Here is a 25,664-nt window from a genome sequence, read left to right on the forward strand (position 1 = left end):
AGAGTAGGTTTTAAGTGTTCTCAGCATAAAAAAATAAGTTGTGGATAGTTCATATGTTAATTAGCTCAAAAAACTCCTACAAATGCAAGACACTTTGAATTCGGGTTATATGTCCAGTTTCATTAAAACATGATTCAATGATTTGCAGAAATATAGACAGTAAAAGAGGTTAAAAATGAAAGTAAGGAGATTTCAAAAATAGATAATGAACTGAAGCAAGTTTATATGCCTCTCAAGATATCTCAGTTTTGCCTGTCTCCAAAATCTTGGACCAACCAAGTGACCTTGTTACTACTTTCTTCACTTTTTCTCCTAACATCTCTTTCTCAGTCTCTTCCAGGGTAAAGGATGGACTTTGGTGTGTTCTCTTTTGTACATGCCTCAGTGAGATGCACAAAGCACAACTTGGTCAGATTCACAGAGGCTCTTGTCTCCTCTAACTCTTCCTGACTCAGGTGAAAAATCACCTCACGCAATCTGGTTTACCCAAGTAAAGGCCTGGGTAACAGAACCTAGAAGCCTGGGAAAGATAATACACTGTAGTGAACCAGAGATAGACAAAAGAATGAACAATTAATCCCTTTCATTTTCGCTGCCTGTGAAACTGTTCAAGATGGGGTGGGCTTATACATCCTGTCCGAAAAATGAGCCTTATGACCTTGAAACTGGCTGTGTTATATTTTTGAAGCTGTGGCCAGTTGGATAATGTATCAATTTGTATTTTCTCTTCTGCTCTGCCTTGCCTCACTTTTTCCTTTCCTTTCATTTCATTTCCTTTTTCCCAGTACTGCATTTCCAAATAAAGCCACTCACAATCTTTAATCAGGCTGTAAATTTTAAGAAATCTGGACCAAGACAGTTTGCTCCAAGAGTATCCCACAAATGCAGATCTTCAGAGTGAGATTTTATTATTGGATTGCTCACCTGTCTGTTGGTAAGTGAGATGACAATAACAAAGTGAAGATGATAATAACTTGACATGCAGTGGTACCACAATTGTTAAACACTGGCCTATGGTTAATTGTGAACAAGGCTTGGGGAAATCAAATGGGTACATCATTTGATCACTGTGGAGACAATGATACTTATGAAGATTGTAATTTCAGATGCCTATTTTAATGACATCAGAGATCTAGCAAAATAAAATAATAGGATCGATGCAGCTGCATAAAAGATGCTGTGAAAGCCAGAGATCTTCTGCAGTTTAAACGAGATTCTAATATGCTGCAGCTGCATAGCAGAAAATGCTTAAACTTAACTCCAGATTATAAGCATAAGGGTGTCATATCCTCAGTAGATATGAAATCGGAAGCATCTCTGATGTCAATGCCAGGATCATAATAGGAAAATTGATTAGAATGGAAATATTTGAGTAGAAGAGCCAAAGACTATGGAATCTCCAAGTTCCTCTTACCCCTCCTGGCTGGCAGAGGCAGTTCCTTACCACTTATCGGAGCCTCCTTTTTGCCAGTAGACCACACAAAGACCTCATTTGAGGTAGATATCAAATAAAATGTTGCTCTTCTTCTCACTCCACCAACACTTATTGTCTCCAGGCTAACCAGAATCAGGTTTCAGCACATCCCATGTAGGCTGAAAGACAATTCTCTAAATGTCAAAGAAAGAGGAAGCCTGGAAAATATGAACTAGCACACACAGATTGAAATGAATGCTCATGGATCCTGAAGGTGTTATAACAAGAGATGAAAATGTGGAAATTAAATAGAAAAAAATTCATCGACAAGAAGGTATTCACCTATGACTTAGGATTGAAATGTTGGCAAAAATATCTGTAACTGGACATAATTTTCTGGAATCGCTTCTTGAAGCCTGGGTATAACAATCTAGAGCAAATGACATAGAGATGATATAAATTCTTTGACATTGTATTGAAGAAAGTCTCAGATTTTAGTAGATGAGTAAATTCAGAATGAATCTACTCTGTAATAACTAAGAAGAATCAATCTTTCTATCTGTAGGTCCAGTAGGTCCAGAAGATACTTAAAAAAAAAATTAAGGTGGTAGGGAATGCCTTGACGAGGGAAGCATCTGAACTTTGAGAATTTCAGTGATGACTGACCTCTGCAGTCCAGAGGCAGGAGGAGGGACTGCCACGGAATTAGGGTATTTAATATCAATAGGGATAATGGGATTCCAGGAAAGCATAGCCCGAAGAGCAGAACATAGCTGTGAGAAGCAAGGAAGGCGTAATTACTTCAGGCAATAATGTTTTTTTCCTACAGGAGATAAGATGATGGTTAATCAATCATGATGTTCCTAGGAGTTTGACAGATAGACATCTGGCAAGGATATCCTTCCATTTGTGTAACAAAATGGTCAAGGTCTGGCAAGAAGAAAGTTAACAGTCCTGCAGTGAAAAATTATAGGCTCCCACTCTTTTGAATACTTAAGTCAGTTTAGAGACCAAGGCCCACTGATTGAAAGGAAGCCTACAACACTTGAGGGAGGACCCTACTGTGCCACCACAAGTATTTATGAAAGAAATAGTCCTCCAGTTTTCCCCAAAGTGAGTACAGGCATTTCCCAGGGTAACCACCAAGTGGGAAGAATGGATTACTGAAGTTTTTAAGGATTGCTAGAGACTGTCATGCGCCAAGAAAGATAGAATGGAACCAAACAAATCTTCAAACAAAAGCCAATCAATCAATCCAACAGCAAACAAAAATCCCTCTCAGTTCTGTTGCTAGAATGGAGTTTATGAATAACAGGTGACAAATGGAGTTTTTCAAGTCATTCTGACAGTTGGTCCAGCAGGTCCATGGAAAACCATGGTGTTACTCCTCTTGTCCTTGAATGCATAATTGGAATATATATACCACCATCTGGAAGGATTCTCATATCTTGTATTGGTTAGCTGACTTGAATATGGTAGGAATAGTCAAATAAAAGATCCTAAAATTACTTCCTATATATTCACTGGTCACAGAGAATAAATTAGGAGCAATATTGCATACTTTGAGTAGTTGCAGAAATTAGCATCACTATTAAAAGAATTGAAGGCAGCTTTGCACAATGTCTCATACTTGTAATCCCAACAATTTGGGAGGCCAAGAGGGAAGGATTGCTTGAGGGGAGGAGTTCGAGACCAGCCTGGGCAACACAGTGAGACCCCATCTCTACAAAAATTTTTTTAAAATACCTGGCATGGTGTCATGTGCCTGTAGTCCCAGCTACCTGGGAGGCTGAGGTGGAAGGATCACTTGAACCTGAAAGTTGAGGCTGCAGTGAGCCATGATCTTGTCACTTCACTCCAGCCTGGGTGATAGAATGAGACCCTGTCTCAAAATGTAAAAAGCATTAAAAGATGCAAGGTAGTTGGTCTCTACCATGTCTCTATTCAAATTACCGATTTAATATTTGCAAAATTCAGATGGCAGTAATCTACTATATATTACCTAGGTCATGCCCCAATCGTAGCTACTGTACTAGATGTGATAACTTTACTACAGCAAATCAACACATATCCTAGTACTTGATATTGTGTTGGCAATTTTGTCCTTCTCTGTCCCTATCAATAGGGAGGATCAAACTATTTATTTTTATATGACATGGGCATTATGTATTCAATTAGCCTCATAATTATATTAACTCCATAGGTCTCCTAACTGTCAGATCAGGATAGAAGTCCAGGTTCCCTACTTGGGAAATATTTTTAGCACTCATTTTAATATCAAAATAAATATTTGTCTTTTCTGACTATTACTTATCTGACTATTACCATTGAATTTGGGTCTTGGTGTTGAATTATCAGTTTATTAATTCTCCAAATCACATTAAACTATAAAAGTATGTTGTGAACAATTGGTTATTATCTAATTGGTTATTACAAATATACAGAATAAAGATTAACTTCATAATTGATATTTCATAAATTTGGATGACCTTAGTAATGCCCACGAATATATCCCAAAACAAATAAGAAAATACTTGTACATTTCTCACTTGTTTTGTGTTTGTATGTTGCCTATGTTGTTCTTTTTCTGAAAGCTGGATTGTCAGTTGTAAACGTGGCACCTCCATAAACCCCTTCTAAGGCTGGGAACTACATTTCCCAGAATCACCTCCCCTGTATGGTTTTGGGTTGGTTTGCCAATCAGAGAAATTCACAACATTTAGAAGATAGCAGTGAAAAAAAAAGGCCCTTGTTCCTGTGGCAGTCAAATGCATGACTTGACTTAACAGACTTCTCTATGAGCTCTCACCGTATGGTCATGGCAGGCAGGCATAATGCCTTCTTGGGCTTCATCACCAAATCTGGCTTCTGGTTGACATCAGTGATTGAGTGATTGCTTCTCCAGTTCTGTGGTGCTGGCTTACAGACCTTTGTTTTCCCACCTTTTCCCACTTCATAAGTTCTGGTTCCTACATTAAATAACCTATTATCATAATTCTGGTAGTGGCTATATTTTCCTTAGTAAATGATGACTGATAATAGGGAAGAAAAATAAACATTAAAATTTTGGGATCCATAGAGAAAGTTTAAATTTAAAGAATAGAAAAATTACTAAAATAAAAGAAAAATCATTTAAAAATGTACAAAATGGAGTGGTTTAATGAAAAATAATATTTTACCTGGACTGCGAAACCCAGAATAAAGACTGTCTTAAACTTAAGTAATAATGTAGATACAAATATTATTAATAAATACCACCAGGTGGATGTATACCAATGATTTCAATAAAAGATATCATTAAACCAGAGATAAATTGTTTGTGAAAATGAATAAAGTTTAGAACATACCCTGAGAATATAACATGATAATCATGAAAAAAGAATAACCCTAAAAGACTGAGAGTCTAAAGGTAACTAGAAGAACCCAAGTGTATAACCCCTTGTATTTTTTGTATATAAATTACATGGGAGAAATTCCACTATTTACCGTAGTCCTAGATACTTTTTTTGCCCTGGCCCTTATCATTTCTTTTTAAAGTTATTTCCTCAAAGAGGAAAAGTTGAAGGCAGCCCTTAAAGAGGGAATCAAGAAAATAACAATTGATTCTGAAGTCAAGGAACTGAAGATGTATAGGTTCACAGATTGGTTGGTCACATATCAATTAATTATACTTTTTATTTAAAGTAAGTTTTATACCAAATGTAGGACTAAAGACAAACTATATATGCAGATTATAAAACTCTGAGAGTACATGAAATGTTAAAAGTGCTGTAAATTTGCTAAGCATTACTAGTATCATCTTTGGAACAACTCTTTAGAAGAAAAAAGTGGCATTATTATAAGCAAAAAGTGGATTTTTTATGGCTATTATATATATTAAAATTTTTCTCAAATTGTTTCTTTTTATAATGGTCTATGTTAAGGCCTCATAATTTATTGAAAAGTTCAACTGACATAACCTCAAAAGTGCTTTAAAATGAATTAAGAAAAATGAAATTAATGCACATTATTTGCATGTAATGGATTTAGAAAAGCCACGCTCATATAGTTTTTTATCCATTATAAGTCAATACAGACCATCAATATTTTGACCAGTGAGCTACACCATACAGCAATTCCAGGCTCATTTACCCTGGCACCCAACATAGTTCAAATTCCACTTTCCATGGAAACATATTTCAAGTTTTACTCTCCAAGGGAAAACCAACACATTTGAATGTTAACTTCAACCAAGCCAAACCAGAAAATAAATTTGCTTTAGAAAATTCAGTATTCTTCAAGTCAAACCTGTATGACACAGGAATATCCCTGATGTTATAGATTATCTCTGTCATCACTCTACTTACTTAACTAGGAACAGGAAGAGAGGGTTGACTGAAATCACATTTTTACCCATAGAACAGTACAGCATTTTAAATCATATTTCTCAAGGGCCTTTGCAAAGTTATCATCTTTAGAAGTTGGCAGTCAAGTTAACTTGAACTCACTCAAATGTGAAATGTATTGAATAATTAAGTATCTATTCATTGCTGACAAGAACACTGAGTTTGTATGTACAAAATAAGTGAAAAAATAGACCAGTAGTAGAAAAATAGCCAACTGTAGCAGAGTTCACTTAATGTGTCTCTACTCTTGCTGCGCTAGTTATATTTGTATGTTAACCTCTTGGGGATTACATCTTAATAGAGATGTTAACCTCTACTAAAGAATGTTAAATGTATTGACTCTTTTATTCATTATTTTGTCTCCCCTCAGATACAATTTATAAAAAGTTGATCATTTCAAGACGGTGAAGTTGGTATTGAAATAGGAAATAGAAATCCGGTATTCACTGGATGCATGAAATCACCATAGAAATATGCTCAGAATACTATAAAATATTCTGGTCAGAAAGACTGTAGCCAAAGAGACATCAAAAGCAACAGCATCTAGTGCAATTAGTATAAAACGGTACTGAAAATCTATCAATAAAAATTAATGTATCAGCTGTGTAATTAATAAGCAAAGAGGTAGACATTATCCACCTACTGCTCTTATAAATTAATTTTGCAAATTGAAACAAAACCAACAATTTGTACTGGGAAATTTATTTGTTACTAACAACATGCCACTAGTTCAAGAGTTGCTATATCATGCAAAAAATCCCTATAACTAATCCGTCTCTTGTTCAACTCTAGCCTGAAAATGGATGAATGTGTCATGAGCTTCAAAACCCTTCTCTAAGAACTAGGAGCATCCCAAGAAATTATACAGTCTCATTTGGAACAAAATGAAAACTCAGTCCACCTAAGAGTTTCTCAGACATTTGACCTTTGTGTCTGCAGGAAATAAAAAAATTGAAACAGCATTTGTACTCTGTAATTGGTCCAACCTTAATGGAAGGTATTCACTGAGCAGAACACTAAGACAAGCTTTTGGTAAATGGCACATTACTTTATAAAGAGCTCTGCTCAAGGCAATTTATTTGAAACAGGGAGGCTTATTTAAAGCTACCACTTGGAATTGTGTAAAATCAAATCAATTTCATAGTTTCTTTAATTTTATTGACTTTCTTCAGCTTTTATATTTTGTACATTTGAAATAACGAAAACATTTGTGAGACATATCAATTTTAACTCCACTTTAAACTTAACTTTATCCTTTGAGTTTCTTTGTAAATGACGAGTTAATGGGTGCAGCACACCAACATGGCACATGTATACAGATGTAACAAAATTGCACGTTGTGCACATGTACCCTAGAACTTAAAGTATTATATATATATATATATATATATGAAAAGGTTTGTTTTCATATATATATATATATATATGAAAAGGTTTGTTTTCATATATATATATATGAAAAGGTTTGTTTTCATATATATATATATGAAAAGGTTTGTTTTCATATATATATATATATGAAAAGGTTTGTTTTCATATATATATATATGAAAAGGTTTGTTTTCATATATATATATATATGAAAAGGTTTGTTTTCATATATATATATGAAAAGGTTTGTTTTCACTCTGAATATAGCAATAGAAATCATTGTACCAGAGAGTACTCTGACAAATTTTCAGCATTTAATGAGAATGTGGGCAGGAAGTCAAATAACTTGTTCTTCCTGTAGGAAGGTAAAGATTATTATATTATTGGGCACTTGTGTTTACAATGGAAAGTCCAGAATAAAGGAGGCCTCAATATGCTCTGTGGAACACACTGTGCTAGAAAGAATGGCAGCAAATTTTATGGCAGATTTTGCCACAAGACCTCAATGTGTATTACGCCTTGGAACTAGATCAGCTTTGGAATTCAAACACTTCCTCATTTCCATCTCTCAACATTGGATTATCATTGCCCTGCAACGAATATTCCATTTGCCTTCATTTGTAGTTGCAGGATATTTCCTGGTAATCATTACATTTCTTGTAACCATAAAATAAGTACCAAATAATATCTGATAAGAACTTTGCTTCATTTTTTTCCTGCTAGAATCAAAATTTAGAGAAGCAAAGCATCAGAATCCATTTCCAAAATTTGATTGGTACCACTCAGTACAAAGACCCATATTCCATTGTAATGTTGATATTTTCATCTGTTTTTGTATCATGTGTATCTGCTTTATAATTTCCCTGCATTCTCAAGTATTAATTTTCAAATGATTTTTAACTTATTACTTCTGAATTGAAACACAATTGTTTTCATTTTGTCTACATGGATTTATAGCTTCATATAGTTGCAATCACAAAATTTTATACTTTTAGTAAGATTATATTCATCCAACAAGGGACTATATCCGGAATATACAAGGAACTCAATGCAACACCAAAAAAAGTAAATAATCCCATTAAAAAGCGGGCAAAGGGTTGCAATAAGCATTGTTCAAAAGAAGACATACAAATGGCCAACAAGTACATGAAAAAATGATCAGCATCACTAGTCATCAGGGAAATGCAAATCAAAACCACAGTGAGATAGAATTACACCACAGTTAGAATGGCTATTATCAGAAAAAAAAATAACAGATTCCGGCAAGAATACAGAGAAATGGGAACTCTTATGCACTGTTGATGGGAATGTAAATTAACACAACTATTATGGAAAACAGTACATAGATTTCTCAAAAAACTACAAATAAAACTACCATATGATTCAACAATCCCACTACTGGATGTTTATCCAAAGGAAATGAAGTCAGTGCATCAAAGAGCTACAGGCACTCCCATGTTTCTTGCAGCACTATTCATAACAGCAAAGATATGGAATCTACTTAAGTGTCCATCATCTGATGAATGAATAAAGAAAATGTGGCATATATTTACAATGGAATACTATTTGGCCATAAAAAGAATGAAATCCAGTGATTTGCAGTAATAGGAATAGAACTGGAGGTCATTGTGTTTAGTGAAACATGCCAGGCACAGAAGACAAATATTGCTTGTTCTCACTCATATGTGAGATCTAAAAAAGTTTGTTCTCATGGAGGTAGAGTGTAGAATGACATTTACCTGTGGATAGAAAGGGTGTGGTGATGGGGGGATGAAAAAAGGTAGGAAAATGGATGCCGACATACAGTTAAATAGAAGGAATAAGTTCTAATGTTCAATAGTACAACAGGATAACTATAATTACAACATATTACACATTTCAAAATAGCTAGAAGAGATTTTAAATGTTCCCAACACATAAAAGTGCTAAGTGCTCAGGGTGACTGATATCCTAAATACCCTGACTTGATCATTATACATTATATGCATGTAACAAAATATCACATGTACCCCATAAACATGTACAAGTATCATGTATCCATAGAAAAAAGTAAAATTCAAGCTAAAAGGATTATGTGTTAAATATTTTCTATTTTCACATTGCTTTAACAAAAAAGAGTGCACAATGATCCATTGTATTTATATACCTGTATCATAATTTAGTTAACTGTTTCTCTTCTGTGGAACAAATAGGTGGCTTAAAATTTATGCTGCTACATTTAGACTTTCAAGAAATACATATATATTCTCTTCATGCTTTGCTTCTTTTTTCTGATAAATATTTTTAGAATATAGGTCACCAAGAATGAGACTGAATAGTAGTATGAAAATTTTGAAAATTTAGATACGTATTTTATCATTAATTCTGATTTTTTATCATAAACTAATATTTAATATTTTAAACTATAAAATATATACAATATGAAAATAATAAAACTAACATCTAATTAAATACCACTGAGAGTTAATTGAATAAATTATAACACTGCCATATTTGATTCATATCTCTGTTTTTCTTTTAAAATAAAATCTTAGAAATGCTAGGGTCAGCTTTCCAACCCTTCATATGATTGCCTTCAACTTAAGTTCCACTCTGAAAATGGTACTATCATTCCCAGGCATGCTTTTGTGTTTTACCAGATTTGTATGTATCCATAAATAATATAAAGTACTGTTTAAAGAGTTTAAATATGCATATATTTTAACATATTAGTATCATGTTCTTTCTTCTTTTTTATTTTTACATAAATTTTTTTGAGTTCTATTCATGTTTTTTTCAGTAGTTATAATTCATCTATTTTAACTATTTAGTAGTTTATTGCATGTTTATTTGTCCGTTTTCATAGAGTATTTCATAGCATGTTTACCCATTTTCATGCATATGTCTTTTTGATTTTTATTCTATTACAAACTAATTTGGTAATGATCTTGTTTCTGTTTGTAAGCTTGTGCATTTGTACAAGAGGTTCTTCATGATTCATACTTAATGTAATTGCTTGGTTCCTTTTTACCCATGATCTCCCTTGGTGTTATTGGATCTAGTACACTTGCCAATTGAGATAATATGAAATTGTATTCCATTTTAGTTTTAATTACATTTCCATGATTACTGCTGAGGTTTAGCATCTTTTTGAGTATTACGGAATTTAGTTTACTCCTACGTGCATTACATTTTCATAATTTTGCCCAGTTTTTCCTTGGGTTGTTTTTATTTTCTTACTGATTCCAAAGGTATCTGTAAATTATTGAAATGAATTATTTTAGTATTGTGCTTTTCAGCTTTTCTTTTCACTTTAATTGTGCATTACATCATATAAAAGTTTTCATTTTAATGTAATCTTAGTTGTAAATCTTTTTAAATTTGGTTTGTTTTTCCTGTTATTTTTTTAAAAATTATTTCTCTCCCCTAACATCTAACAAATATTTTTCACTTCTGTTTTTTCTATAAATTTTCAATTTTGCTTTTCACACTTATGAAATTACTTGGTAATTATTCAGTTACTAATTAACCTTGTTACTTGGTCAATTTTGCCAACATTTTGAGTTATTTTAAAATAAAATATTTTGGTGTCTTTAATCTCTATTTTAAAGTTTCTATTTAATTACCTCTTGCTCTTTAACTTTGTTTTATTTGTTTATCTTCTTTACCTTCTCTATTTTCTTCTAATTTCTTGAGTTGGAAAACTTCAAGAAATATTCAATATTTATTTTTTTCTGATGTAAGCATTTCATGCCAGTTTTGTGAAACTATTGCTTTATACACATTTAACAAATTTGGACACATTGTATTTTCATTGTTATTAGTTCAAAATGTATTTTAATCTTTATTATTAATATAACTCCTTATCTGGTCTGTGAATTTTTTGGAAGATTATACCTGATTATATTTTAACCCAAATACATTGGGAAGTGTGTGTTAACTTTCTATTAATTTCTAACTTTTAAATATAACTAAACTTTGATTACTTCTTTGTGACCCAAGAGAGTGATGTCACCAAAATGGTGGAGTTGGGTCTTGTGTGGTGGCTCACACCTGTAATGCCAGCCCTTTGGGAGGCTGAGGCTGGCAGATCACTTGAGGCCAGGAGTTCGAGACCACCCTGGCCAACATGGCAAAACTCTGTCTCTACTAAAAATTAAAAAAAAAAAAAATTAGCTGGCCCATCGTGGTGCACGCCTGTAATCCCATCTACTTGAGAAGCTGAGGCACGAGAATCGCTTGATCATGGGAAGCAGAGGTTAAAGTGAGCTAAGATCGCACCACTGCACTCCAGCCAGAGTGACAGAGCGAGACTGTGTCTCAAACCAACAATGACAACAACAACAACAACAACAAAATGGTGAAGTAGAAGTAATCTGCTTTCACCCTCCCCACAGAAAACAAAACAAAACAAAATCCTGTCCAGTGCCAAAATTATCACCACCAGTACTCCAGAACTCAAAACTGAGGCTGTGATAATCCTTGAGCCACAGGGAAGTAAACTGCATGGGGAGGGTAGAAGAAATGGACTTTTCCATGTGCTACATGCTTCCTCCAAACTATCAGGCACTTCACAGAAAAGTTCTCCTGGAGTCACTATCTCTGGAAAATGCGATGTTGCAGCAGACAGCTGGTTTCCCCATCATCTTGGGTTCCTACACAGAAAAGCTGTTTTTTCTTCAACCCACTTAAAGCAACTTGAGTGCCTTTAGGGAGAGGAACCCCTAAAAGGCTGCTGGAAATAGACAGTGGAGGTGGGGTTAGCAGTCCCAGTGCACAAAACATGGGCACTGCTCTCCAGCTCAGACAAAGGAGATGCCAAATCAAAGAGGTAGTGCAACACTTGGCATGAACCCCTAACCAGCCTCTCTACACAGCCAGGGAATCCCCTTTGGGTTCCTACCCCCGACCCCAATTCAGGACAAATGGCACATCAAACTTTTGTAAAAGCTGAGGCAAACTTGAAATTAGGGCACCATGTAGTGCCAAGAAGGAGGCAGCAAATTAGGAATAAGGGAAATCAACAGTCAAACTGCATAGATACTCTAAACATACATAGACTAGAAAGGCCAAACTAACCCAGACAGGAAAGCTGGGAATACATAACTAATCCTTCAGTGCAAAGACATAAACAACATGTGTCCATTAGAAACAGGTGTCCATTAGAAACAACAGCAAACAAGGAATTATGACCTTCCCAAATGGACAAAGCCAGGAGCCAGTGACCAACCCAATGAGACAGCAATATAAGAACTCTTAGATCAATAATTCAAAATAACAGTTTTGAGGAAACTCAGCAAACTCCAAGATAAAGCACAAAAGCAATTTATCAGAAAAATTTAACAAAGAGGTTGAAATAATTAAAACAAACAAACAGAATCTTGGAAATGAGGAAAACATTGGCTGAAATGAAAAACTCATCAAAAGGTCTCAACAGCAGAATTGATCAAAAATAATCAGTGAGATTGAAGATAGGCTATTTGACAACATACAGAGGAGAAAAAAAAAAGAAAGAAAAGGAAGGAAGAATGCCTATGAGATACAGAAAATAATCCCAGAAGAGCAAATCTGAGTCATTGTCTTTCAAGAGTGAGGTGAGAAAGAACAAGGAGTAGAAAGCTTATTCAAAGAAATAGTAACAAAAATCTTTCTAAACCTACAGAATGATATACATATCCAGGTACAGGCAGGTCAGAGATCACCAAACAGATGCAACCCAAACAAAACTACCCCAGGCATATAATTCTATGTGATCCAGTTTCTTGAATATTTCTTACGATATGTCATGTAACCTGTTACTTGGGAAAGTTTTCCAAGTGTTACACATACATAGTAGTCAGCAATGCTATTTAACAAGTGTTTCTAGATCTTCTCAGTTGTGATGAAGCTTATATTGCCTGTATCCCTTGTCTCTATAACGACTGTGACACAATGCTTAATTGCATTGGCATGTGGCAGTAGCATGAAATATATTTTCACTAACCCAGTGAGAGTTTGGGTGTTTTTGTAACTGCAGGATTATCAGCCAATGCTAATGTGGTGGATGTGGGGTAATATTAGAGTCCTAGTGGTGAGAAAGGTGACAATCCATGTTACACATGAGCAACACTTATGAAGCTGTTATGTGCTATAACTTGCTTAAACATGTATCTAATAAACTTGTAGCACTACAAGAAGTATTTGAAAATAAAAACAATATTGGCACATATTGATTGGTATTGGCTGTGCTTACCTAGCTATTATGAAAGAGACCCAAAGAAGATCTGCTTTTAAAAAGTATGTTTTATCTCATCATTTGGTATAGGGTTCTATACTACTGAGTCAGATGAACTTATTACTTGTTTTTGAGATTTTCTGTATCCTTACTAACTTCTGTCTAGTGGATCATTTAAAACTCCATCACTACAGAGTAAATATTTCTTGAAAAGAATGTGAAAAGTATCCAGCATAAACATGGAACACATGGAATGTAATTAAAATTACAAACTTCGGTCAATCAAAAGACACCATTAAAAGAGTGAAAAGGCAAGTCAGAGAGTGAGAGAAGATATTTGCAGTACAAAGAAAAAACACACAAATATTCTCGCAAATCAATCAGAAACAAAAGTCAAGCCAAAGAAAAAAATGTAAATGATCTTTTACATCCCCAATGATATCCAAATAATCAATGCACATTTAAAAAGGTCCTTAAAGATATTAGTCATTAGGGAAATGCAAATCAAAACCATGGTAGCATACCTACTATACCCTAAAAATGTTAAAATGAAAAAGATGAAAAATAGTCTCACATACTGCTGCTTGCAGTGTGAATTTGTACTTCTTTGCAAGACTGTTTTTGCTGGATCAACTAAAGCTCAAAATATGTGTAATCCTATGAACTTTGTGCTAAACTAGGGAATTATTAAACAGCCATGGAAATTTATAGTGACTCACATAGAAACTCATTTAAAAATTCACTTTTTTTTTTCAAATTTTACCCCTTTATTTTTTGCTGTGATTGGCAAAATGATTGATTTAGTAGTAGAAGTTAATTTTTGGTCCACTGTTATTGATTTCAACTCTTCCTCCTCACTTTTACCTTTGAGATGGCTAGTGCTGCATGTGCCTCTCTTTAATGTGTTCCATTAAAGCTTTATGTACAAAAATAGGCAATGGGTTATGTTTGGCTTGTGGGCCATAATTTTCTGAACATTAGTTTAAAAGGTTATCCTTCCCAAAGCTGTATGCTGGGATTTTAACACATGACTCAGGGAAACACTATAACTCAATGTCAAAGGTGCACTTTAATGGCGACAATTTCAGGTTCATTGGCCGAACTGTTGTTAGTAATATATTTTTAAGCCATTCAGCATCCAGCAAATTGGATTATTAAACAGATACAGATGCCAATGAAAATACGGCATGAAAAAACAGTTTATATTTACTATAAGCACTATATAAAAGTCTAACACTGACTGAAGTTCAAAAAAAGCAACTCAAAAAGAATAATAATTTATATTAATCTTTCCAAATATTGTCAACTGATGATTGTGGTAGTTGGGAAACTTTAAAAATAACAGAAAGTATGTAGTGATCAGATATTAGAGTTTGCTAAATTATTTGGATTCCCATTTTTAAAAGGTCTCATTAATTTTGCAAAATGATTGTCCAAGTTGTATGAGTGGAGAAATTATCTTCCCTAAAATATCCACATGGAAATCAATATATAAGCCATAAGTCTCAGTTAGATAGAGGAACACAAAAATAAGTTTCTGTTAACTAACTTTAATGAATAATTGCAATTTTCTTTCTAACAAAGGAGCAATTCTTTCTTGGTTAATGTTTTTGTATCTGTGGTTATATGTAGACTGTAAAATTACATTTATTTTTGCAATTCTAGCTTGAATAGATGTTTTATCTTTGGAACTTGTCAGAAAACCATGGGTTTTCAAATAAGACTAAAGCTATTTTATTAAAAAGTTGTATGATAAATTTGAAGACTTCTGCAAAGGACAATCCATGGTTTCAGATCATTTTTGGAAAAAAAAAATCAGTTAACCAGTATTTTCTGCTGTACTGTCATTTGTAATTCTTTAAGTTTCTTTGTGCATGTAGCATTGTAGCTGAGATATATTTGGCCATTGTAGCAATATTCTTCTCTTCACTAAACCCAGGTAACTTAATAAGTTTCTTGAAACTACATAGAAGAATTGAAAGTATTATTACAACAACATTTAGAACATCTAAAAAAAGGCATATTCAAAGATTTCAGTGGTCACTTAGCAGGAAATTTTCATTTATTTTGCCAGTATGATTCTATGAGCTTTTATAATACCAGGCAGGTCAGGATATCAGGTAATGTTTCAAGTCATTTCACAATACTTTTAAAGATGTACGTTTAGTCTTGAAATTACTATAATCCTTTTATTTTTCCTTAATAATTCATACCTTCATTTATTCAACAAACACATTCTCAACCTACTACATGATAATATTTGGGAAATCAGGGATGAACAAGTTAGATGAATTTTCTGCTCTTATAAAATGAGCATTCTAGTTGTCAGAAACAAACATTAAACAAGCATAGAAATAAACCTGATAAGTTTAGAATATGATAAATACCATAAGAAAAATGGGCACATGACATTAAAGAATGTGACAGTTACTGAACCCAGTAGTACCTAACAAATGAGGGACCCAAAGATTCATTTGCAAAGGAAAAGTGCAAACATGAAGTAGTATGTCAAAATTTCCTAAAATATAAGAATTTTCTAAGGAATTATGGCTATTTTATGACAACAATAATCTGATGGAGAATATAAAATATTTCAAGAATTTAAACTCACAATAAAATAATTTACACTTTCCTTTATTTTTTAAAGTTCCTCTAATCTGATGGGACACTCCCGCAATGATGCTTCAGCTGTATTTTAACCTCAAGAAACCCTAAGATCCCTCACTCCTATGCTGCTGTCAACGGGAGGCTAAGAAGCACAGAGAAATAGGCCATACAAAGTCTACCTCTCTGAACACTCTGGTTTGTTGAGATGACAGATGGTTAAGTCTCTCTCTGACATCAAGAGTTAGAGCCAAAGTTATCATGGAATTGTTTCTTTTGGAATGTCAAGTTTATGTGCACCGTATCACTCTTCTGAAATGGACTCAAGATTCAGGGTCTCATCTCACTTTTGATTTAACTACACTCATATTCATCCATGTGTGAAAAATGGTGATCACACTAGAAAGCTTGTTCTTACTGTTTCCTTGCATATCTGAATACCTGCATCACATTCAAATCTAACTCACTGCCTTAATTTAATAGCTGAAAGAAACACTGAACAAGTCACACTCCTGCAAGGGCATGGAACACAGAATGGCAAGTATATCCACTAGGATTGTATTTTTCTACAAGAAATAGCCTGGCAAATGGTGGCCTAAATTACTAATCAGTTTATTTTATTCTTCTACAGAAGTTAGCAAACCATGATTGGTCTTAAGGAGCCATCAAAATCCAATTTCCTTCAAGCTTTCTGCCTAGCCTTCCTTCACATATAGCTTCCATTCTCCAGTTTCCCCCTGTGAACCTGGTAAAAAGAGATTTCAAAGTTCAAACCCGAAATATAAATAATTATTCAGGAATATCTTAACCAATTTATTGCATGTATAGTTTGTAGTTTTATAAATGCACAGCTTTGGGAGGCCGAGGCGGGTGGATCACGAGGTCAGGAGATCGAGACCATCCTGGCTAACACGGTGAAACCCCATCTCTACTAAAAATACAAAAAATTAATTACCCATGCGTGGTGGCGGGTGCCTGTAGTCCCAGCTACTCAGGAGGCTGAGGCAGGAGAATGGCATGAACCCGGGAGGCGGAGCTTGCAGTGAGTCGAGATCGCGCCACTGCACTCCAGCCTGGGCGACAGAGCGAGACTCTGTCTCAAAAAAAAATAAAATAAAAGCACAGAAGTATTATGCGATGAAATTCCATGAAAATGTATCTTTCAGTAATTATAAAGTAAAATACCTGTGATAAGAAAGCATGTACCATGGTTGAATTGGCAGTGTATCTTTTATTCATACTTCTTAATAATGGGCATTTTCTTTGGTGTGTGTATGTGTATGTATATATCTCCTATCTTGTGCTTATGTAGTCTTGATTAATTATTCAAGGCATCACAGAAAACAGTAGATACTTTTGTTTGGAATTGAAGAATTGCTTTGCAATTCATATAAAGCATGTAGGTACCAGGAGTTTAAGTAACAAATATAAAAAGATTATCTGGAGCAATTCTCAAAGCCTTTACTATGTGAATGCACATGCAGAATTTCCAAGACGATATTACAGTATTCAGCATTTTCCATGATCCATATTTCACCATGAACATTTTTTCTGACAGATTCTCTTACTGAGATACCTTGGAACATGGTTTGAATAATATTGCTCTAACTTCTTTCATGTCAGGAAGCTCTGAGGTAATTTTTAATATTTTATACACTGTACTATTTAACAAAGGAAAATATATTATTTGTTTTACCAATGTCATTTTCCTCGACAACTGCTACAAATTGGAACTTAAGTTAGATAGCTACTTTATAATATATTTGTATTAATCTAGAAGGCTTAACTATACCTAGATTATACAGTAGTTGCTCAATAAATGCCCATTGAATAGAATCATAAACTAACTTCATTTCCAGACTGCACAAAAGAGTCAATCTAGTAATGACTGGTGGAGGTGGGGCAGGATAGGGTCATTGCTAGGGCTCTTACACACACATCATACTATGTATCACTTTTCTATATTTATCACTCCATTAAGTCTGTTCAAAATCAACCTTCCTATCTAAAATTACCAAGAATTCAAATTGAATTCCTTAGATGCATAGTGATCCAATTGCTTGTTCTATTTGATTCACACACAGGCAGCAATCTGTTTTCTTTCCAAATTGTATTTGTTGTCATTATTTTAATCTAGCATTTGTTTCATGTTATTGGAATACTCTGAATTATATAGGAGGTTTATACAATAACAAACAGTTAAAGAAACAAGTCAAAGTATCACTCTCCCCAGGTGAACATCCATTTTAGCTATGTGTCTATTTCTTTTGAACCCAAATTTTAGACAGTGAAATCTGTGGTTTATTCTTTTAACAGTTGCCATAGACTTGCGGAAATGCCTGCTACATACATGCGTGTTGAACAATGAACTTCATAACTGACATATTTATCAGAGAATCAGGATGAGAGAAGGTGATCACTTAAAAAGAAAAGCCTAGTTTGTATAAGATGGATGTTGATCACGTGCTCTCCAGCATCATAATTACATTTGTTCTGTTCAATTAGGGTTGGGTACTAGACAGAAAATATTTTGTAAAAGGAAATACCCACCTTCTTTGAAGCACTGTTATACATAAATTCTTTCCAAAAGTATTTTTTAAAATTACAGAGAAAATACAAAATTGTAAGTGATTCATTTTTTATTATTATAAAAAGACACACTTAGGCCAGTAGTAAAATTGTTGAGTTTCTTTCTCCTAATAGTTAATTCACCATATAAAATATTTAGTTTATTCACAGCAGCTTGTTATGGGATTCTAATTGCCTATTTTTCCAGAAATGGTGAACAATCTTTCATTTAAAACAGGGAACAGAATAGATTAAACATGAAGGGAAAATATACAGGCAGTGAGGCCCTCAACTTCTTCAGCACTGTTTTGTTCTGTCCTCTTTTTCTCTCCCTCTCCCTCCTTCTGTGTATTTCTATTCCTTCTATCCCACACTTTTCATTCAGAACTGCTCATTTTTCATTTTATAAATGACAAGGGCCATTCCAGCCTTATTAAGTGGAAACTTGACCGATAGCATTGAAAAGGTCACCTGTAATTCAGGCTACAAGTGATAAAAATTTAGGCGTTAAGATCAACATAGACTGGGAGTAAAATTTTAAAAATAGAGATAAAGATTTATAGGCATGAGGCTATTCAAGAAGACCTAGTGCTGCCAGTCACTGAGAAATCAACTTGATGACCAGAAAATAAGATCAGATTAAGAAATATGAGGTTGGTAGGGCCTCCTGAGGCACAGTCAGGGGACACTGAAATGTATTTTTAGTGGATTATGAAGGGTCTGGGAATGGATAACTCTGAAATCCTTTTACAGTACATCACAATGTGTCACATATTCCTTGAGAAACTCAATTACCAAACATCCCAGACAACATGATTGGCTCTAGTTGAAGTGAGAAAAACTTTAAAAGTGACATGAAATGTTAAATTGGCTTTAGGGTTCAGAAAAGTATTTTATGTAGGTATACACCCTGATTTTCTTCAGCATAGAAAGCTTATATTTATAGAAAAGTACATATTACCTGTGGAAAAAAATTAAGTAGACTTTAAAGGAATATTTAAGGATTATTCTGAGCCTTTAACATGACCAGACATACATTTTTATTTATAATTATTTAAAGTCTCTCTATTTTATTCTTCCTCAGCTTTAATTCACCTGGGAGAGGTGCTTAGGAGCTAATTGAAAGTAAACAATTACAAAAAGTGTATGTTTTGAAGAATTGTTTTATGAAGTGGGGAGCGGGGAGAGTTTTTCTTAAGGGAAAGAACAAGATAGAATTATTGAAATAAATATTAGAAGAAAGAAATGAATTTATTGTATGTGCAATAATGTACTGGAATAAATGCATCAAACACTTTTTCTTCAAGCATAATTGCCTGGGAATAATAGTAGATTTAAATTCAAATTTTATTTTGTGAAGGATAACATTTAAATTAAATTTTTTTTTGTGAAAGCAACTATCTTAACTATCTGTGCTAACGACAGCTCTATGATAGAAGGAACTTTGTTTATTATGCTTACTATGCAGATGCAGAAACACAGAAAGGAAGAGGATTAGCAACTTTCCCAGATCTGAGTTGAGCTGAGATTTGAGTCAAGGCAATATTGCTTCTGGGGCTGTAACAACTACATTTTATTGTCTCCTGAACAGATACTTCCTTTTCTTACTTAATAAGAATAGACCTTGGAGGTCTGGACCTGGACATGAACGTACACTTTTCTAAAGAAGATATACACATGGCCAACAAGCATGTGAAAAAAAGCTCAATATCACTGATCATTAGAGAAATGCAAATGAAAATCACAATGAGAGACCATCTCACACCAGTCAGAATGGCTATTATTAAAAACTCAAAAAATAACAGATGCTGGCGAGGTTGCAGAGAAAAGGGAACACTTATACACTGTTGGTGGGAGTGTAAATTAGTTCAACTATTGTGTAAAGCAATATGTCAATTCCTCAAAGAGCTAAAAAAGAACTACCATTGGACTCAGCAATCCCATTACTGGGTATATACTCAGAGGAATATAAGTCACTCTACTATAAACACACACGCATGCAAATTTTCATTGTAGCACTATTTACAATAGCAAAGACATGGAATCAACCTAAATGCTCATCAATGACAGATCGGATAAAGAAAATATGGTACGTATACACCATGCAATACTGTGCAGCCATAAAAAAGAATGAGATATTTTGTGGGAACATGGATGGAGCTGGAGACCATCATCCTTTGCAAACTAACAAAGGAACAGAAAAGCAAATAGTGCATGTTTTCACTTATAAGTGGGAACTAAATGATGAGAATTTATGAACACAAAGTAACAACAGACACTGTGGCCTACTTGAGGGTGGAAGGTAGGAGGAGGGAAAGGATCAGAAAAAATAACTGTTGGGTAATTGGCTTATGTATTAGTCCCTTCTCATACTGCTATAAAGACATGCCTGAGACTGGGTAATTTACAGAGAAAAGAGGTTTAATTGACTCACACTTCTGCAGGCTGTACATGTACAGGAGGCATGGCTGGGGAGACCTCAGGAATCTTAAAATCATGGCAGAAGGGCTAGGGGAAGCAAGCAAGTCTTCACGTGGCAGCAGGAGAAAGAGAGAGCAAAACAAAGGGGAAAGTGCTACACACTTTCAAACAACCAGATCTCATGAGAACTCACTATCACAAAAACAACAAGGGGAAACTGTCCGCATGATCCAATCACGTCCCACCAGATCCTTCCCCCAACACTGAGGATTACAATTCAACATGAAATTTACCGGGGGGACAAAGAGTCAAACGGTATCAGCTTAGTACCTGGGTGAGGAAATAATCTGTACAACAAAACCTCATGACAAACATTTACCTATATAACAAACCTGCACATGTACCTAAAATCTAAAGTAAGAGTTAAAAAAAATTATACAGGAGTATACTTAGAAGGCATAGTTTCTGAATTCTAAATCATTATTCATAAAAATTTTACCCAATATTTTTCATTGCATATTTCCTATAAAAAATAATAGATCAAAGACTACTAATTGTAAAAAGAAAAAAAAAGCAAGCTGCTAATATTTATTGTGCCTTTACTCTTTGCCAGGCCTTATTAAACGCTTTACCTTTGTTACACTGTTTAACTCTCCAAATAACTCTAAAATGTAGTTACAGTTATTGTTTCTGAGAAAGGATGGAACTGAGGCTCTATAAGTTCAAGTCACTATAGACTACTGGTCTAGGCCAGTAGTTCTATTTTTAACACGTTTATGAAACACCTTGAAAAGTTATTAAAAGAGTTCCCTGGTTTCAACACCAGAAGATCTAATTCAGCCCAAAAATTTGCTGATGCTTCTGGTCAGAGGACCACACTTTGAAAACTACTGCTCTCCTAATGGTGTTAGCAATTGTCTGAATCCTGAGACTTTAACCAACATATGAACACACAAAACGTGATGTTCATTCCGTAGATATTGATTGATGCTGAATCCAAACCTCATCAAACTAAATTATTCATGTACCATGACAGACAGGAATCCTAAAGGCATTTTTATAAAAGACATTTGCCTCTAATCCTTAAGGACAGACACTTAAGTAGCACATTTTGGTACATAGAAATTAGATTTCAGTACTAAACTCTACTCACTTTTCTCAAAGCTATTAAATCAGCAAATAGTTGGTATCAAGCATCATTGTAAATGAATGAAAATTGTTGTTTTAAATAATAAACTTTAAAAGTGAGAGATTAATAGATTCCCAAATTGATAAAGCCAGTTAGTGCCAGATTCTACCACACCCTATTTTCAGTTTCCTTGAATGAGTAGTATGTCAACAGCTCCCCTTGGTCCTCCAGTATAATTTCTCCCCAGATTTCATTTAGGTACATGACTACTGATAATTAGCAATGGAATTTAAATTCCTCAGGAGCTCTTGCATCTAGGCATGGGACCAAGGCTAAGTTCTAGTCAATGGGATGTAAGCAGAAATGATGTGCGTAACATCAAGAATCAGTTTTTCAGAGAGATAATTTGCTTTTCTTTTCTCCTTCTTGTCTTTGATAGCATCTTCAACCTTTCTGGACTACAGCACCTGCCAACTGACCCCCACATCATGGCTCCAACGCTGGCTTCATCACATATCTTCTCTCTCAGTCCCTTTGGCTCTCAGGGTGCAATAGCTTAACAAAATTGCTGATCTAGGTGCCTCAGCATTGTTTCTTTGTCATAGTCTCTGTATTATCTTATTTTGAGCCATTCTTTTCCTGCAAAGATCCTAACTGAATGAGATAACTACTTCATAAGCTATTTGTAAGGTTTAAATAAATTAATGCATATTTAATACATGAAGCTGTGCCTAGTTTATAGTAATTACTCAAAAATGTTACTTATTTCTCCATCCAAAACATACAAACAATAGTATATCCTTCATGAGGACTTCTTGTGGACTAAAAAGGCAGTATCTTTAAAGTGTTTTGCAGTCTCTGACAAAACCACACTATTACCCTTACTCAAGGTTTTAATTGATTGTATGTACACAAGGTTAGTCTATATGAGCTTTGGAAAGATGGGAAATTCAAAGTAGAACAGTTAAGGAAGGAAAGTGTATGTTCCACTAATAAAATATATATTAGTTCCTGTAATCAGATTGTGAGTGACAATGGAATCCAGTGGACCCATTTTGCCCTCAGACAGATGGCTGAGAAATTGCTGGTGTGGCAAGCAAGCAACTCTGACTGCAAAATGGCAGACTCATTTGCTTGGGGGACAGGAATGAGGGATGGTTCACATGGGAAGCACAAAGTCACCCTTGATGAAAGTTCAGAGAAGAAAGAGATCATCAAACTTACTCTAATTACCAAAAGGTGATGACATTAGCAGAAGAATTAGAGTTTGAAATAGTACTTTTGGTAGAGAGGACTGATTTCTAAGAAAGCCCATACTCATGATACAAAGGCAGTTGGTGGGCCCCAAAGCAGAATAGCTGCCTCAGGTGGGCAAGTAGCTAAAGTTCACCAAGCACTGTGTCCCAAAACTCACATACACGCTATACCTACCTGCATCCCATGATGCCAGGAGAGCCACATTTCTGTGGCAAGGGACAGTGAACAGAGAGGAGCCAACATGGGAATGAGAAACAGAGTTATAAACAAAAAGCAAGAGAGGAACCCTCAGGGTAACAGAATCAGTCACTCTTGAATATGTGACAGAGTAGAAGGTAATTACCTCTTATATCCGGATATTGAAATTCCAATTCTAGTCTCTGGACCATACTTCTTTGAAGGTTAGAAATATCAGTAGCTCAGTTGGATCTCAGATTGGAGCTGCTATGTGTTGAATTGCACCCCTCCAAAATTCACATGTTGAAGTCCTAACTCCCAGTATCTCAAAATGTGACCTTATTCAGAGGCAGGGTATTTACAGAGATAAGCAAGTTAAAATGAGACCATTGGGGTGGGCTTTAAACCAATAAAAAGGGGAAATTTGGAGACAGATTCACACAAAGAGACAATGCATGTGAAGAGAGAGGCAGAGATTGAAGTGATGCTCCTACTAGCCCAGGAACACAAAGATTGCCAGGAAACCTCCAGAAGCTAGATGAGAGGCACGGAACAGATTCTTCCTCACGATGTTCCAAAGGACCCAATCCTGCTGACACCTTGATTGCTTAATTCTAGCCTCCAGAACTGTGAGACAATAAATTTATGTTGTATGCCACCCAGTTTGTGGCACATTGTTTCAGCAACCCTAGAAAACTAATACAGAAGTTGACAAGATCCCTGTATTAGTTAAGATTTTTAAAAAAATAAATGATGAAAACAAAACAAAATCCCTTTTATGAACTTAACTCTAAATGTGAAATGTGTAGGATCAGTAAATGAAACTCTCAGGAGTGTACATGTTCTGAGCATATGTTGATTCAGGTAGTTAAATGATACTATCAGGAGTTTAACTCTAACTCTGGCTCTCGTTGCTACTTCTTGCTTCGGGTTGGTTTTTTACCCTGGCGAGCTCTCTTCAAATGAAAATAAGATGGGACTTAACAATTCCAGCTTTAAGAAAGCTGCAACCAGCAATTAAAGAAAGTTAAACTACCTCTTCTTTCTCAGGATCATAGCAACATAGGTTTTACCTCCCGTATTACCAGCGTTACTTAATTATTGCCAGTTATTTCAAACAGCTGGAAACAACTTGGAAAGCTGCTTAACTAGAGAGGTAAGTGGGTAAGAATAGTTGAAGAATTGATAATTTATTCAGTGCGATTTCTCTCTTTTCTATATTGTTCTCTGTTATGGTGGAGACAAATATGGATATTTTTATTTGAGCATGAAAATCAAGAAGAAAAAGAAATAAAGAAATAACAGGTAAGATATAAATTATGAATTTTTTTCTTAACCTTTTTTAAGGTGTAATGGTATTTCCAAAAGTATCTCTTCCTGAAAAGAGGAAGATTTTATTGTTTAAAACATTTTGTAGAGAGGTTAGAAATCCTAGATTTCACCACTAAAACAACAGAAAAATAATTTAACATTTTGGGAACCCAACTATTCGTGTGTTAAAAAAAATAGTTGCATTGTCTGAGCAGGGACATGGATGGAGCTAGAGGGCATTATCCTTAGCAAACTAACAAAGGAACAGAAAACCAAATACCGCATGTTCTGTCTTATAAAAAGGAGCTAAATGATGAGAACTCATGGACACATAGAGGGGTACAACACACACTGGGAGCCTATCTGAGCATGGAGGGTGCAGAAGGGAGGGGATCAGGAAAAATAATTGATGGGTACTAGGCTTAATCCCTGGGTGATGAAACAATCTGTATAAAAAACCACCATGACAGAAGTTTATCCATGTAACAAACCTGCACTTGTACCCCTGAACTTAAAATGAAAGTAAAACAAAATTAAAAAATAGACACGCTATGATTTCTGTGATTTTTGTAGTTGGAGGCACCAGGGATTTTATGCAGCCATGTTTTTTTGGTTGCATTTATGTAAGCTTTTGTTTTCAAATAATTTTTTATTGAAAATTTAAATTTAAGAAAGCATTAATTTTTAAAACTATTATCTTGATCATAAAAGTCTTCAGTACTTGTTGCTGAGTATTTTTAATGTAGAATTTATGGAGAAGAAAATTAGAATTATCAACATAACTATGGTACAGAAATAACTATTGTTAATGTTATCATGTATTCTCTTTAAGCT

General features: G+C 34.6%; 1 long non-coding RNA gene across 14 annotated transcripts in view; it reads left to right on the top strand.

Annotated features, from left to right (window-relative positions):
• LOC105375387 (uncharacterized) overlaps positions 1-22,809 on the top strand; it is a 52,989-nt gene extending 30,180 nt beyond the window's left edge. The window contains exons 3-8 of one of the 14 annotated variants that reach the window (NR_187924.1): positions 786-934; positions 16,011-16,504; positions 16,599-16,715; positions 17,526-17,601; positions 20,004-20,624; positions 22,525-22,809. This is a non-coding gene — a long non-coding RNA (uncharacterized LOC105375387). Of the gene's footprint in view, positions 1-330; positions 456-785; positions 935-16,010; positions 16,505-16,598; positions 16,716-17,525; positions 17,602-18,283; positions 18,380-20,003; positions 20,625-22,524 lie in introns of all 14 variants that reach the window. The other 13 variants (NR_187919.1, NR_187922.1, NR_187925.1 and 10 more) reach the window with 13 other exon arrangements.
• Positions 22,810-25,664: the final 2,855 nt, after the last annotated feature.

The sequence above is a fragment of the Homo sapiens genome, chromosome 7, assembly GCF_000001405.40.
Source record: "Homo sapiens chromosome 7, GRCh38.p14 Primary Assembly".
In the NCBI taxonomy this organism is placed as follows: Eukaryota; Metazoa; Chordata; class Mammalia; order Primates; family Hominidae; genus Homo; species Homo sapiens.